The sequence below is a fragment of the Homo sapiens genome, chromosome 2, assembly GCF_000001405.40.
Source record: "Homo sapiens chromosome 2, GRCh38.p14 Primary Assembly".
Taxonomy (NCBI): Eukaryota; Metazoa; Chordata; class Mammalia; order Primates; family Hominidae; genus Homo; species Homo sapiens.
In genome coordinates, this window is record NC_000002.12 from 43,455,743 (window position 1) to 43,472,283 (window position 16,541).

A 16,541-nucleotide genomic window follows, 5' to 3' on the forward strand; every position below is an offset into this window, starting at 1 on the left:
CCACTATGTAAATCTGAAAAACATCAATTCTAAATGCAGAATTAAAAGATTTTTCTCTTCTTCTCAATTCAGCTATGACTAAGGAAACAGAGACACAATAGTTACTAAGGAGGCAGGAAATCCTTCCAGCTAACCAACTTTTACATTCTGTTCCTTATGGTCAAAACGTTGACCACACTGTGGTAGCTCTTTTTGACTTTATGACCTTATTACTAAGACCATCAATTATATTCACTGTTATTTGTGCAGACGAACTGCTCGATTGCCAAAAGACTACGCTACAGTGCTATTTAACCTTTCCCAACAGAGACTCATTGAAACTCATTTGGTAAAATGTTTTACCTAACCTTGCAAAGATACTTCCTAGTAAATATTTGAGGTATATAAATACCTCCAAGTAGTCTTAAAAATGTGCAAAACTCATCATTGTTAAGGCAAATACTCATCTAAATTATAAAATCACATTAAAAGTTTAAAAAAAGTCATGCATTCAGACAAAGGTAATATTCCACATAAACTAAGGCAGTTCAAATACTATTTATCTGACTACATTCAGCCTACTTCCAATGGCAATTAAAAAATAATAATATGCACAGCATTTCATTTTAGAAAAGGCTGCTACTACATCATGGAATAGAATGTGAAACCATGTTCCACAGATTATTTATTCTGTGGTGGGGTGGGAATGAGGAAATGCAAAGTAGAGAAAGAGCAAAGGTCTAGAACCAGCCTGACCAGAGGAATACCACACAGTGGCAGTGTAACCTTGGGTGATTCATTCAACCTTGCTAAATAATTTTACATTTTCTTTTCTTTTCTTTTTTTTTTTAAGCAGAGTCTCGCTCTGTCACTACATTTTGTTTTCTATAAAATGGGAATAATAGTGCCTACTTAGTGGAATTACTTGAGAAATGAGATAATGCATCAACAAATCACAAATCTAACTTTGTACCTTCTGAACAAATTACACACACATTGTTCTTTTGTCTTGGCTCTTGCCACCAAGTCCTCTTCCTTTCCCTCAGCACTTTAAAGATGAGATGAAAGGAATAGAGAGGAAATTAGTATAAATTACAATTAAGTTCAACACACTCAAGATACTAAGATACTAAGAGTACACCAGAGAACATAACTCACTTTCAAACTTACAATGCAAATAGCTTTTAAAAATACACAAAGTACAGGCATTGAAAGCATGAATAAAATTTAGGTCTGGCATAAAAAATTTTACACAGCATTCTGAATACATTAACACCTATACTTTGAAGGAATCAAACACTAAATTTTATATACGTGTGTGTGTGTGCACACACGTGCCAAAGGCCAGGAAGACAGCTATGAAGTGGGATAGAATGTTCCACATCGGTAGAAAAAACGTATTTAGGATATCTACACACACACACACACACACACACACACACACACACACACACACACACACATGCACAGTGAGTGAGGTGATTAAAGGAGATGAAAATGGCGGTATACACAATGCTACTCTCACTCTCCTACTCACACATAATAAGATACCAATATTTGGTTTTGATGTGCCCATTCTAGTAGTAAAAGTAGACACTTCTGTGAACATATACACAAAGAGGTGCAGATGCTTCAATAACAAGTTTATTTGCTTCTTGGAAAAGGAAACCGTATTTCTCATAATTATTTGTAATTACAACAGACTTACTAGTAGTTGAGTCTCTACTAAAATAATTTAAAGTCAATCTTAACAGTTTTCCAAAAACACCTTCAAATTTGCCAGGAAACAAGGAGCCTAGAAAAATGACTGATACAAAGACTAAATAAAAACAATGAATTGAAGGAACAGTTACTGATAGTTTTCATATGTAAATTCTGGCATTCCATCTTATTTTTAATTAATTCCATTAAACTGGTGTTTCATAGGTCAGAGGATTTTATGACTATACACCAAAAATGTTATTTAAAATTCAGTTATAGGGAACCGCCCACAAATATTTTCTAACACTTTTTTCTTTTGTCCAATTCAAATTGTTTTTGCTTCACTTTTTTCTCCTTTAAGTCCAATTTCATTCTTTTTATTCACTTCCACTTCCTGTCTTTGCCCTTCAACAAGGAGTACTCCATTATAAAGTCTATTCCATTCTTTCTGGAATCTACATAGCACCAAACTAATCTGCACATACACTGAGGATGAGAAAGGAAAAAAAAAATCCCAGGTGATAGGGGATATCCTTACATACACACACAGTCTCACTGTCCTCTACCTCTCGACAAAAAACAAAACAAAACAAAACAAACACAACCATAAATAGAATGGCCAAGGCTTATTTATGGAAAGGAAAAAGGGTAGCACAGGATAACATGAAAATACTGCCAAAGAAGCCTTCATCTCCTCTGGCCTAATTTAAATAGGGTTACTCAAGTTCATGGATTGGTAATGGATGATGTTGCAAGATAAGATAAATCAAAGAGTCATCACTAAAATATTATTTTATTCTAAGGACAGTCTGCGTCGTATGTTTTGACCTAAAAGATATGACTCACAGGGAGCCCAGGATTCCTTTTCCTTTCTTCCCTGAAATGTGAGCAAAAGCAAAAAGGGGTGAAGGTGCCATATACCAAGAGTCCAATGCCACCTGAATGATGATTTCATTGTGCTATTCATCAGATATGTAACTTGGGGAAGTCACCTAACTTCTGAGCCTCAGTTTCCTCATCTATTAAATGGGGATAACTATACCTAACCAAATTAACTTCCTCACATGGTTACCATTAGGATCAAATGAGATAAGAGATCTGCAAGTACTTTGAAATCACCAAGTTCTGCTGATTCGACCGCCTATCTCTCAATTCTATTCACTTTTTTCAACCCCTACTGTCACTATCCTAATTCTGATCACCAACATTTTCATCCTAGCCTACATCTCCGGTTTACAAATATCAGACCACATGCCAGTGCCCATTCATGAAGAAAATGAAAACAACCAAAACAACAACAAAAAACCCCACAGTGCAATGCCGTAAATTCTGCATAAAGCTAAGGTATTCTATTTAAATATCTAATATTAATTTGAGATTCCTAAAGGGGGATGTATATATGTGGTTATGTATGTGAAAATGTCCTTTAATTTATGAAATGATTCTGACATGTAATATGCTTTTTAATGTACTTATTTAACAAAATTAAAGGGTTGATAACTGTATTATGTTGATCTTCAAAATAAAAAAAAAATTTTGCTGGTTCACAAAACAGAAAAGTCTAGGTACCACTTGTCTTGTCTACATTATTCTAACAAACAAAATTATTCAAACAAACAGATCTCTCAGTCTTGAGCACAACTTTCCAATCCAGCCACATCAGCCAAAATGATCATACTAAAGCAAATCCTGTTATACCTGTGTTTAAGATACTTTCTTTGCTCCCATGTCCTTGAGTTAGCTGACAAGGTCCCCAGCTCACTTCAGGCTGCCCTCTCTGTACCCTGTGCATTTTCATCCTGACTTTTGCACGGGAGCAGTCACCCTCACCTCCACTCCTCTTTCCCAAATAAATATTGCACATCCTTCCTCTCACCCATTATCTTTCTTGCTCTAGGATGTCTTCCTTGACTCCCCCAATCCCAGATTATATGCATTTCCCATGTGCTTTTATAAGTGTTTACATCCCTTGTTGTAGACCTTCTTTCATACATTTGATTAATACTTACTGAGCTTCTGCTATGTCAGGCACTGCTCTAGGTGTTGAAGATAAAACACTGAATGAGGCAAATACCCACCCTCCAAAGAGCTGATATTCTAGTAAGAGAAAACAGACTAGAAACTAAAAGTCAAAATAATAATAAGGAAGTAAAATATCCAGTGATTACTCATCCCTGTATCTCATGAACCTAGTACAATGCCTGGGTCCTGGCTGGTTCTCAAAAAATATTTGTTGAATGAATAAATACACACATGTTAAACAGTGCTGTGTGAATGTGAGGGACTGACTACTGTGTACATAGGTCCATACTGGCTATTAAAATCTCTCAGAGTCTGGCCCAAGCTTCCAGAAGCCAAAGCATGCTGTGTCAGTTAGGGCATTCACTACTGTAGACTTGTTTTTTAAAAAACTGAGTTTGCCTACTTTTTAAAAACAAAAACAAAAAAACAAGTTTGCAAAAGTAGAAATTTTATCAGTAGTTTTCAGACCAAATGAGTTCAGCACGGAAGTCTCAAAAGCCACATCTTGGCAAAATATGCATCTTCCTCAAACTCAAAACACATAAAATTAAAAGAAAGCCAGTTCCTTATATAGTTCAGACACAAGGATGTTGGCTTCATGCTGTATCTAGAAGGTTGATACTGGAAAAGTCAGTAACTACCCTGAACAAGGACCTTGTCAGATCACTGTCAAGGCATAATCCCACCTGAGTTATCATCTGCTGAAGTGAATTAAAGTCAAGAAAGTAAACATTTAATGAATACTTACTTGCCTTTGCTCCCAAAAGGATCTTAGAAACAAGCTTTCTCTTAATAAAAAAAAAAAAAAAAAAAAAAAAAAAAAGTAAGCCAGAAAGCTGAAATGAGATCTGAGGAACACTTCCACATGGGTCAGCCAGTCAGCATAAGAAAGAGTTGGCAGTACCCAGGTGAAACTGCTCCAGACTGTGACTGTAACACTATTCTGTCCATGCAAAGATTTGGAAAATACATTTTCTGGACAGAACTGGGCCTAACATCTCCACTACCAAGTTGAAAAGCCAAAAAATAAACCTGGTACAAAGGTACTCAGTGGTTCTGAAAATAGCTCGCTGTCTTTAGAGACTGCAAAGACATCAAGCCCTGGGCCTGAGACATGCACCAATCAATCAAACAACTGACAGATATATATTAAACATTATGTTAAGTGCTCTGGAGGACACTCGTACATAAAAGATACAATTCTAAGCCTCAAGGAACTTTATCAAGTTTACAAAACAAGACAGAAATGAATGGGAAAACAAAAACACAAAAACCAACCACAAATGAAGGGTTGGCGTGGTAAGAGCCATAGACGTGGTATAACATTGCTCTGGAGGCCAAACTGGTGGGGGAGAGCCCACAGAGGAATGCTCCAGGAAAGCCAGTTTCACAAGAGGTGGGATTAACCAGGATGTTGACAGATTTGGAAAAGCAGAGGTCCTAAAGTATTCTAGGTGAAGCTTGGCATTGCAGAACAGTTAGGATTCACCTGTCCCAGGAGTGTGGGGAGGCTGTAGGAGGAGGAGAAAAGTCAGTGGAGAAGGGGATGGCACAAGGACACTGTTGAGGCAGAGGTGTATAAGGTTTGCTGGGGACAACAGCCAAGGCTAGAGCAAAAACCTCTCGTAGAAAGTAGGCTGGACTGTGGAAGGCCTCAAATGCCAAGCTAATGAATTTGAACCTTATTTCTCAAACACTGGAAAGCTACTTGAAGTTTTGGCATAGGAGTAACATAATGAACTGTGTCTGGGTCTGTGCTGAAAAGTTTCACCTAAGTCTACACTGCCCACACAAAATATTAAAGAGAGAATTTTTAAACAATGTGCCAAAAGTTTAAAAACCAACACATTTTCATAGATATCTAAATTAAAATCCCTGTGACTAAGTTTTAGATCATTCAGTAAATCACATACACTTGAGTAAGTGCAGGAACCATTGAAAGGTCCATTTTAAGTACTAAAAAATGATTTTTGAAAGGTAAACCCAGTCCTAACTACATCCACTCCCTGACTTTGCCCTCCCCCAAACCTGACTAGGGTCTTTATTTTGCTTTAAGCATTACAGATTTCCTTATGTACCTGGAAGGAAGAGCTGTTAGTCATCAATCTGGATGGTCTGGGTTAATAGAGTCTTTGTTCAGAAAATTTAATTATAGGTTTGAGCCCTGGATGAATGCAAAATGAAAATACTGGAGGGGACTCAGCTAATCTGCTAACTCAGCAGTCCCATGGACCTTCAGAGTTGTCCCTTGTGCATCGTTTGGAGAGGCAGTTTCTCCCCTAGTATCTGTGGCATGGCCGATCCAAGTTTACTCCTCCTTGCTTCTCTGGCCTGATCTCTGGCTACCCTGCACTACTGCTTTCAGCAAAGGTTCTGCAATCAAAGGCCTGAAAATGTTCAAATGTAATTTTGGCAGTTTCACATCCCTTAGAGGTTTCTGCCTTCACACAGGCAACACAACGGTGTTAGTTTGCACTGGCTCCAGGCAATACCACAGCTTTACCACCTCTGACCCCCAAAAGGTGCCCAGAGGGAACAGAGTTTAAACCCAAGCTTTAATCTACCTTAACATTTACCAAATAATTTTACTCTGGCAAGTGAGTATCTGAGGAAGGCTGCTGAATCAAGGGGATTTCGGGCTGCATTTTATACTTTGTTGATTACTATAGAGATGCCAGAATTTTAAAACCATAAATAAGGAACCAAATAACATTTTAAGATACTAGATTTTGAAAATGTTAGAGCAACAAAGGAGAAAACTCTGGTTAATAAAACACCTGCTTTCCAAACCATGGGTAACGTTCAGGCATCTTTCCACAGAAACTCTAAGATTCCTGCCAGTGTCACAAAAGGGGAAGGCGCTGACCAAAAAATGTCCATGAAAGCCATTTGAAAAGTATAAAGAGAATTTCCTGAAATAGTAAGGTGAACTTCTAGTGCCTGAAAATCTCTAAATCAGGCTCTCCTAAAGGACTGTAAAGTCAAGGTAAACATTTCTAGTTTAAAAAAACAGGGGAGGCTACCTTTTGGTTTGATGTTTCAATTTCAAACTAAAATAGAAGGTAACAACCTCTAATATGTTCAAACATTCAGATTCCTAGAGAAAAGTGATATTTAAATGTAATATATGGAAATGATTAGGGCAACATTTAATTGAAAAGTGAAATAAACTAAACTCAGAATAGGCCATTTTGGAAGGAAGACCAAAGAATTTTGGTTTCTCTTCATTTCTATCATTCTCTTATACACTGTGCCCTATGGTTGCCATTTGCGGGGATACAAAGATGAATTTGGCTTTCCGTTCTCCCTCAGTGTTGAGGGAGAACTCCAAATCAAAATCACAAAACAAAAAGCCATCTTTTTTGGAAAATTGTCTTAAATACTAAAAGGCATTTCCAGTTCAAAATATAAAGGTAAACACTCTCACAGAGACTCAATTATTTGGGCAGAGACATGTGGTTAACATTTCCTAGGGAAGAAGCAAATGAGAAAAGGTCAAAGGCAAAAGTCAACTGAGAAGAGCTGCAACATCTCAGCAATTTACAAATTTAAAGGACAGCAACAGTTTGAGGGTGAGGGATACACATACCACTTCCATTCATTATAAGCTGAGGTTTAAGGGAAAATCTCTTGCTTCTCTGGGGTGAACACCACAACATCTGTTCTTTGGTCATAACAGCAACTAAGTTGATTTAAGAAAATATTCTCTCTCTCTTTTTTAGAGCTGTTCATTCATAATTACTTGATTTCTCTTGAGACTTGGTTCCCTTAAGATGTGTTTATTCTGCACATCTGCTCTCCCCATACCTGATTACACAAAGGTATCAGAAAGAGCAAACCAACAGGTATAAAGAGACCAGCCCTCAAAACAGATCAAAGCAAACAGCCCGTGGAGTCCTTTGGAAATCTTGGCTGGCAGCTCTTGTAAATAAAAGTGCTTCTAAAGCAGAAAGCATTCAACTACCGTATTTATATAGGGCGTGATTGACAGGTCAGTTATTAACTTCATAAAAACACAGGCAATGTTAACTAGCAAGAATGTTTGTTCTAGCTGTTCTATCTGAAGGAAAATGAAATCCAAGATAGAATGGCTTGCTCTCTGTTTCTTTTAAGTATTTATTTTAGAATCGTGCAGTATAAAAGAATGTTTTTTCAAGTCAGTGAACTTAAGCTATTTTGCTTACTGTTCTGGAATTTAAGTATGTTGTTATAATTCTTTAGAAAACAAATGTTACATTTACTAAAGGCAAATTCCAATGGTGCCAATGGTGCACCACGATCTTTTCAAGCCCTCAAAAAATTTTTATTCTTTTGAATTACTAAAAGTAAAGAAATTTTACATTAATTAATCTTTCTTCCAATAACTAAAGTATATGAAATCAGGGAAGGAAAGAGCAGGATGGTTTCCTCTCAGTGCTCCAGACACAGGCATGTGCTCCTTGAATTGCTTACAGTAGCAAGTTTAAAATTTGCCGGAAGAAGCTAAGAATAAACTGATCTCTATTTTATTAGTTATTTTGAGAGCTTTATTACTAATACATTCTACTATGTAAGATCATTTACAACAATATTATAAGGTAGTATATTTTATTTATAGTTATCTCACAAAATCTCAGTTGTATATTGATATATGGTCAGAAAATTCTGTAGAAGAAATAAATCCACTTTTGTATGCAACAGTTTTCATCCGTGAGGCTTAATATGGTTAGCACCTACTCCCATCCCAGTGGGTAAAACCAAAAATGTCAGCCTATGTTTCTCCAACTTGAAGAGCAACTTCTATAATAGTAGCTTTGAGCAACTATATAACAAAGGAATCTAAAACTTTTGCTTCTATCCATTAATACTCTTACTCATCTATAAAACAAGTAACTTAAAAAAAAAAGTAACAAAAAAGAAGTAGAAGGAAAAACAAGTTTTACTTTTTTGAATCAATCAATGAATACTTTCAAGATTGGAATTGTATAATGTTGGCATTCCTAGCCAAATAAATGCTTATGAAGTGGACTGGTATTTATGTGCATCTTTGTTTATGTGTGTTTAGTATCCTTGGGCCTGGGTTTTTTTCCATGTAAACTAATAAGTTTTGTTAAATGCCTCTTGAATTAAGTTAAGAAGGCTATTTGTTAGCAAAATGTATCACTCTCGGCAAAGGCTGTCATCACATGAGCTACATAACAAGCACAAGAACAAACCAAAATTCCCCAGAAAAATCTTGCTCATCAGTACATTTAATGTACCACAATCCCGCTTCCTCCGGCATTCCTACAAACAACAGTCTTTCAGAACACAGAATTCTTATGAAATAAATACTCAGCCTCAGAACACGCCCTGGCCTCCTCCACTATCCACTCCTCCTGCTTCCCCCGCAGGACTGTATTTTCAAACTAGAATATTTGTTTTGACAGACTTCTGCTTGCTTAATTCTCTAGCAAAAGATTTCTTGAGCACCCCTAGCCAGTAACGAACATTTTGCCAGAAATATGCAACTGTTGGCATGACAAGAACAGGGGGAAAAAACCCTGCCGGCAAAGACCCAGAATTGAAGATAAAAGCTGGTATATTTGGATGAAAAGAATCTTTTCCCTTAACATATTATAATTTCCTCTTGTTTTCCCTGCTTCTCACTATCATGAGGAAAACCTTGATTTGGCAGTTTCACATACCTTCTCTACACTATGTAAAGCAATAGGAACTATTCTCTAAATCTTGGTTTCTAATTAAAGAACTATTTATCCAAATGAAAATGGAGGTTAGCTAATCCTACTCAAAGAGTAAATCTCCAAAACAATTTCTTAATAATAGTTTATCAGGAAAATTAAAATCCATTGAACTTGTTTAATCCAGTGGAATACTTCCCTTTCATTATTTCTCCAGTTACATTTAAGGACTTAACACTCCAAAACTTAACGATGCAAGATGGCTCCACCTTCTCTGACTGAGTTCAGAAGGGCTGGGTAGAGTCTCACACAGCTCTCCTTAGAGAGCTCAGAGCGTGGGTTAAGTGCCTCCTTCTACAACTACCCAGATTCTTGGGAGGAAGAGCCCACAAAGTAGATTTTCTGCATGGGTGGATTCAGACACTTTCCAGAAAAACACAACACAACAAAATACTCACAGATCTTGAAAAGAGCAAGCCTGTCCCAAAGAATATCAGATTACTAAAATACTCAATGTCTGCTGAGGGATCCTCATCCTTCATACCTCACTTAAATACTGATGCTTCCCTGAGTCTACCCTAGCCCCTCTGGGTGATCTCATTCACTTTCCTGGCATAAAATACCACCTACGGATGACTCCTTCATCTGACCTAGACCTCACTCCTATGCTCCAGACCCTACATATCTAACTGCCAAATAGATGTCATTTTGGATCTGCCATTGGATGTCCCCCAGGCATCTCAAAACACAGGGGCAAAACTGAACTTGGTATCTTCCCCCACCAGTCTGTTCCTCCTCCTAAATCCTCGCTGCTGTAAATGGCACCATGAGCCCCAGAATCTGTCCAAGCCACAAATCTGCTGCCATGCCACTATGTTTCCTCTTCCCTGGCCCCCTTGTTTTTCATCAAGTCCTATCAAATCTACTGTCTTAATATCTCTAATCAGTATCTGTCTCTCCATCCTCCTTGTCTGCCTCATTTCCAACCTGAACTCATGCTCCTCTCTTCTCACCACTTGGTCCATCCAGAATTTCCCAAAGTGTGTCCTATAAAACACAGCTCTTCAATGGATATTCTATTAAAAGGATTCCATGATTCAATATTTTAAATGAGTAGTCAATGCTACGACTGGAGAATCATAATGCATAGCAGCATATTAATGTCTTCAAGAAATTCTGAATTGAAAAAACATGTTCACACCAACCTTTCACTACCATCATCTGTCCTCCTGGCTCCCTTTGCCCCTACAGTTTTCTTCACTTGGTTAACTTCTACTCATCCTTCAAGCTCAGGCCCTGACTCTTACAGGAAGTTTTGCCTAACAGTCCCTACTCATCCCTACTCTGTGTGTCCATACCTCCTTGCATACCTCTATATGAGAATATTCACGCTGCTAGCACACAGTTTGGGGTATGTCTACTCTACTTGATTCTGAGATCTTTGTGGGCAAAGACTTTGACTTATTTACCTCCTAATGCCCAGCATATTACCTGGCACATAGCAGCAGGTCAATATACCCTACTGAGTAAATGAATGCTTACAAGAGCTAATTGTATTGTGCATTTACTCTGTGCCAAGTACTCTCCTAATCTGCAGGCACGTATGAACTCACTCAATTGCACAAAAACCCTAAGAGATATTTTCCCCATTCAAGACATGAGGCAACTGAGGCAGAAAGCATAAATATGTTTCATTATTCCTCCAATATGACCTTATTTTCTTATCTTCAGCAGGATAAATGTGAGTAATTTTATTCTACTTCTAAAGAAAGAGGATGTGATTAAACACCACGGGGGGCCGGGCACGGTGGCTCACGCCTGTAATCCCAGCACTTTGGGAGGCCGAGGCGGGCGGATCACGAGGTCAGGAGATCGAGACCATCCTGGCTAACACGGTGAAACCCCGTCTCTACTAAAAATACAAAAAATTAGCCAGGCGTGGTAGCGGGCGCCTGTAGTCCCAGCTACTCGGGAGGCTGAGGCAGGAGAATGGCGTGAACCCGGGAGGCGGAGCTTGCAGTGAGCCGAGATCGCGCCACTGCACTCCAGCCTGGGCGACAGAGCGAGACTCCGTCTCAAAAAAAAAAAAAAAAAAAAAAAAACACCACGGGGATGCTGCTTGGCAGAACTTTGTTACTTTAAGAAATACTGTATATTATTTAACAAGAAAAAAAACCTTTCATGTAGTGCAAATTTGAACACTAGCTCTGCTTCACGCTAGATATGAAATGATGTAGCAAATAAATAACCCAAATTCCAAGTGTGCCATTTAGAAAAGGGACAATAATACTTACTGAGTATCACTACCAGGAATACAGGACATAGTATGTAAAAGCCCTTTGTAGCACTTAAGGTTGGTATACTGATGCTACTACCATCATGAACAATACAATGGAATAATGTTTACCTACCCACACAGCAAATATTTAGGACTGATTACTCTGTATTTCTATTTTTATTTCCCTGTGGGTAAACTGGTCCAAATAATTGGAAAAGTTTTCACATCTGCAGAGACTTCTCCTGAAAGTTGAGAAAATTTCTACTAAATTGAACCAATCAAACTACATCTGTTTTGAGGCTCACAGTATAAACTGGTAAATAAGAAAAATAATTGACTATTAATTTTAAAAAGCTTGACAACAGTCTTAAAAATTTCAACAAAATTATGACTACCACAACTGACTAAACGATCTACACTGTAGAGACTGTCTACACTCTTCTGTCACTAATGGAATCTTATATAATATAGCCAGTGCTCTCAGCCCTACAAACTATGAACAGCTCAGTAGATAAATCTCAATAAGCCTCCACATCAAACAGACTGGAAGAAATCAAAAGACCGCTGAGCTAAGCCAGACCAGGCTGATATTTTGGTTTATTGGTTAACTGTTATGCTTGGAAAGGCCTAAAGCTTAATTGCAAGGCTTGAGGTGTAAGTAAAAAATGCCTGACTTAAGTAAAAATACTGATCATAGCATCTGTCACTAGTTAAAATATGTGGAGATCTTTATCCAGGATATTTTTTGTTGTTTATATTTTAAATAAATGAAAATAGCCAGTCACACGGTGACTAAACATGAATCATTGTTTCAGCTTTTTGAGAATGCTTGGTGTAAATTAGGGAGTAACGCTGTTGTTAATCCAAGTCATGTGAAAGTTAAAAAGGGGAAAAATCTGGTTTAGTTTATGACTTCTTGTGGTATTAACCATAGGTTTTTGCACAAATATTAATGAATACAACGCTTTGAAACACTATATGGAAAAGTGAAATCCGGTGGTGTTATTTGGATCTTTTTACCATTTTCTACTGAATAACTAACTCCATTTGGCTGAATAAGCAACAAAATTAAATATTTTTTAAAGGCCCTAAGAGAAAGTTCTCCAATAAAGGGTCAGTAAAGCTTTTAGTAAAAGACTGAAAATGAGGTCCTCCTCACTGCATTGCCCTCATTTTCACTGCTACCAAAGCTACCCAATTATACTCACTGCTACCAAAGCTACTCAATTATACTCAATCAGCATTTACACAGCGCTTTAGGATGGGCAAAAAATTTAAAATACAATCCCCCACCAACTTAAGAATTTGGTATCTGAGGGCATATAACAATTCACAAGAAACAATACCACCGCAAGAAAGAGATGGCATACAGAATCTGGGGCACATCAGGAAGGGTCCTAAGGAAAGGAAGACCAAGTGCTGGGATGACCATTACCACATTTATTCCTCACAACTCTAGAAGCAGATACTATTACCATCCCCATTTTATGATTGACCCTGAGATGAAGAAACTGAGGCCCGGGGGACTAAAATAAATTGCTCAAAGTCAGAGCCAAAAGTTAAGTCTAGGTCTCCCTATCTCAAGATGCATTTTTAAAGCAACATCATTGCCTACCTACTATATTAGGCAGATCCTAAATAAGGCACTGGGATACAAGGGAGTATGAGCCCCGGACCCTGTCCTCAAGCAAGTTGGTCAGGTCAGGGAAAATTTCCAAGAGGAAAAAAGCTTTGGGTTGAACCCAAAGGATGGGGGAAATCAGCATACTGTAAGCAAAAGAGGAGGGACAGGCACTGTAGGAGTAGAAAAAGCATGAACAAAAGCATAAAAAGGAAAAGCCCGACAAGTTCAAGGGAACAATAGGGAGATTGGCTTGATTAGAGTGTGTTTATTTGTTGGGGTGGGAGAAGTTAGCCAGCAGGGGCTTAATAAATATTTGTGGGTTTGAATAACAGCAGATAAGGTGAAAAGGGCAGGTCCAACTTACAGAGGGCCTTGAAAGCTAAGCCGAAGAAAATACAATTAACCAACAAATAATGTGGACAAACCTGAAATCTCACTAGTAATAAAAACAATGCAAACTGAAAAAAACACGGAAATTTCCCCCTCACATTCCCTTAAATGAACATTAAAAAAAATTATTATTCTCACTACTAGGAAGACTATACATAACTGGTAAATTTGTAAACTGATATAATCTTATTTTTTAAAAGGCTTGGTTATTAGTTTCATTGAATGTTTATATTCTTTAACCCAGCATTTTCGCTGCTGATCATTTATCCCCTCAAAAAATCCAAAAAAACATGCCTCTCTCTGCATAAGAGAATATTCCCTGCATCACTTTTTATTATGTGGAAAATCAGATGGAATGTAATGCTCAATGATAAGTAGGTGGTTAAAACAAAAAAAGTTTCTTAGAAAGTGTTTTAAAAACGAAAAGGACCAATTAGATGGGTATGACTTTAGACTGTAGGCAACAGAAAGCTAATAAAAATTCCTGAGTAGGAAGGTGACATGGGAAAAAATGTTTTTCAAGAAATCCGACAAGGGCCGGGTGTGGCTCATGCCTGCAATCTTAGCACTATGGAAGGCTGAGGCAGGCAGATCACTTGAGCTCAGGAGTTTGAGGCCAGCATGGGCAACATGACAAAACCCCATCTCTAAAAATAACACAAAAATTAGCCAGGTGGGGTGGCACACCTGTAGCCCCAACTACTTGGGGGCTGAGGCAAGAGAATTGCTTGAACCCAGGAGGTCGAGGCAGCAGTGGGCTGAGATCGCCCCACTGCACTTCACTCTGGGTGACACGGTGAGACCTTGTCTCAAAAAAAAAAAAAAAAAAAGAAAGAAGGAAAAGAAAAGAAATCTGACAATATGTAAATAGAGTCTGAGGCCAGTTATAACCTTTGACACATAAATTACACCTAGGAGAATCTATCTGTAGGAAATAACCCTACACATTAAAACATTTTATACGTAAAGATGCTCACCATACCATTACTAATAATATTAAAAACTAGGGGGGAAACGAAATGTTTAATAGTAGTAGAATTATCAAGTAAACTACGATTTGTCCATTATAAGGAATGTTACTTAAGCACCTCTTAGAAGATGAATGATTACATAACTACATGAAAAATGCCTCCTATAAGCGAAAAAGGGAGGATACAAAACTGTGTGTATATAATAATTAGTAATATACCTTATAAAAACTGAACACTCACGAATGAGAAAATGACAGGAAAATGCAACAAAATGCTAACAAAAATTGTATTTGAGTGACAAGAATAAGACTCTAACTTTTTCATATTCTCCATTATTTTAAATAAGCATATACTACTTTCAACATAAAAAGAGGGAACAAAAGTGAAACAGATAGAGGCAACAAGACCTAGCCTAGACCACAGCATAATCCATTCATCCACCTGGCTTTGGAAGACTCCGCAGTTTCACTAGACTTAGCTAACCTGTAAAATCAGCAGTGAACTGGTAGCAAGGAAGAGATAATCTCAGTTGAAGAATATTTGTTTTGAATATAAGGAAACAGAGCTCATCTATGGGATGGGTAGTGATAATGGGGAGGACCTGAGGGACAAAAGACTGACCGTAGTAAGAAAAAATAAATGTAGGAAAAGAGTTGGAGTCTATAGGCCTACTGAAAACATACAGGTGTTTTTCTTCAATTCACACTTGGACTCAGGTCTCTAAAGGTCCGTGGTTCTCCTAAGTAAATATACCAAAAATTACAAATTTCAGGGGAACAGAGAATATTGCTAAATACTCATTTACTGTCACCCCCCAAAATAAAAATATTGACAATTATATCATAGAGTATCTCTGATTATAAAGAATACACACCTGGCTGGGCATGGTGGCTCACATCTATAATCCCAGCACTTTGGGAGACCGAGGCAGGAGGATCACTTGAGCCCAGGACTTTGAGACCAGCCTGGGCAATGTAGTGAGACTCTCTCTCTACAAAAAATTATAAAAATTCGCTAGGCAGGGTGGTGCACATCTGTAGTCCCAGTTACTCGGCGGCGGGGCTGAGGTGGGAGGATCACTTGAGCCTGGGAAGTCAAGACTGCAGTGACCTATGATTGTGCTACTGCACTCCAGCCTAGGTGACAAAACAAGACTCTGTCCCAAAAAGCAAAATAAAGTAATATAAAGAGTACATATCTAAAATTGGTAAGTTTCTCTGAGAAGTAGGGAAACCTCTTGTAAACAGCAAACACAACTCCAAGCATTTCCTAATATATAGGCTAAAACATATACATCATAGACAGAACATGTAACAACAATCAAACACTTACTTGAGTTATACTAGAATAATACTATAACATTTGGTTCCTAATTAATGATTGTTCCCTCTTCTTCGTTTTTATCACTATTGTCACTTCACAATAAGACTTACCTGTTCTGTAATGATTTTGTGCCTGTTGGTTTTTGTTTTGTTTCATTTCCAGCACACTGTATGCTCCCTAAGAATAAGTTGCTAATGCCTGCACTAAGTCTGGCATACAGTTGATCCTTAATACATAATGAAGATATTAGATCATGCACACAAACCCACTCAAGACTAAGATAAATGAACCAAGAAACATGTTTCCTTTTGCTATTTTGATTAAAGAAATTCTACAAAGAGTGATATTATACACAAGGCCCTGAAAAACCGTTAAACTTCGATTTAACAGGGATTGGGGGAAGAAAAGTTTCCAGAGAAAGAAACCTCCATAAAAAATGCCATGGATGTCATGGAATTTGATCTTCATGGGACAGCCAACCAGTTTGGCAGTGCATGACAGCACAATTTTGAAGGTAGCCAAGGCTGAAAACAGAAAGGTTAAAAACAGGCAAGTATTTAAGTATGATATCTCCAGAGATGGAAAGCCCACAA

General features: G+C 37.8%; 1 protein-coding gene across 7 annotated transcripts in view, besides 2 other annotated features; it reads right to left on the reverse strand.

Annotated features, from left to right (window-relative positions):
* Positions 1–16,541, reverse strand: part of THADA (THADA armadillo repeat containing) — a 365,188-nt gene that overhangs the window by 224,892 nt on the left and 123,755 nt on the right. The gene's annotated exons all lie outside the window — the stretch shown is intronic.
* Positions 5,845–6,034: an enhancer, noted in NCBI's record as "active region_15676". NCBI's record gives its function as "activates an Ori minimal core promoter by ATAC-STARR-seq in GM12878 lymphoblastoid cells {active_cell/tissue: GM12878}" and the evidence as "EXISTENCE:reporter gene assay evidence [ECO:0000049][PMID:35858748]".
* Positions 6,185–6,244: an enhancer, noted in NCBI's record as "active region_15677". NCBI's record gives its function as "activates an Ori minimal core promoter by ATAC-STARR-seq in GM12878 lymphoblastoid cells {active_cell/tissue: GM12878}" and the evidence as "EXISTENCE:reporter gene assay evidence [ECO:0000049][PMID:35858748]".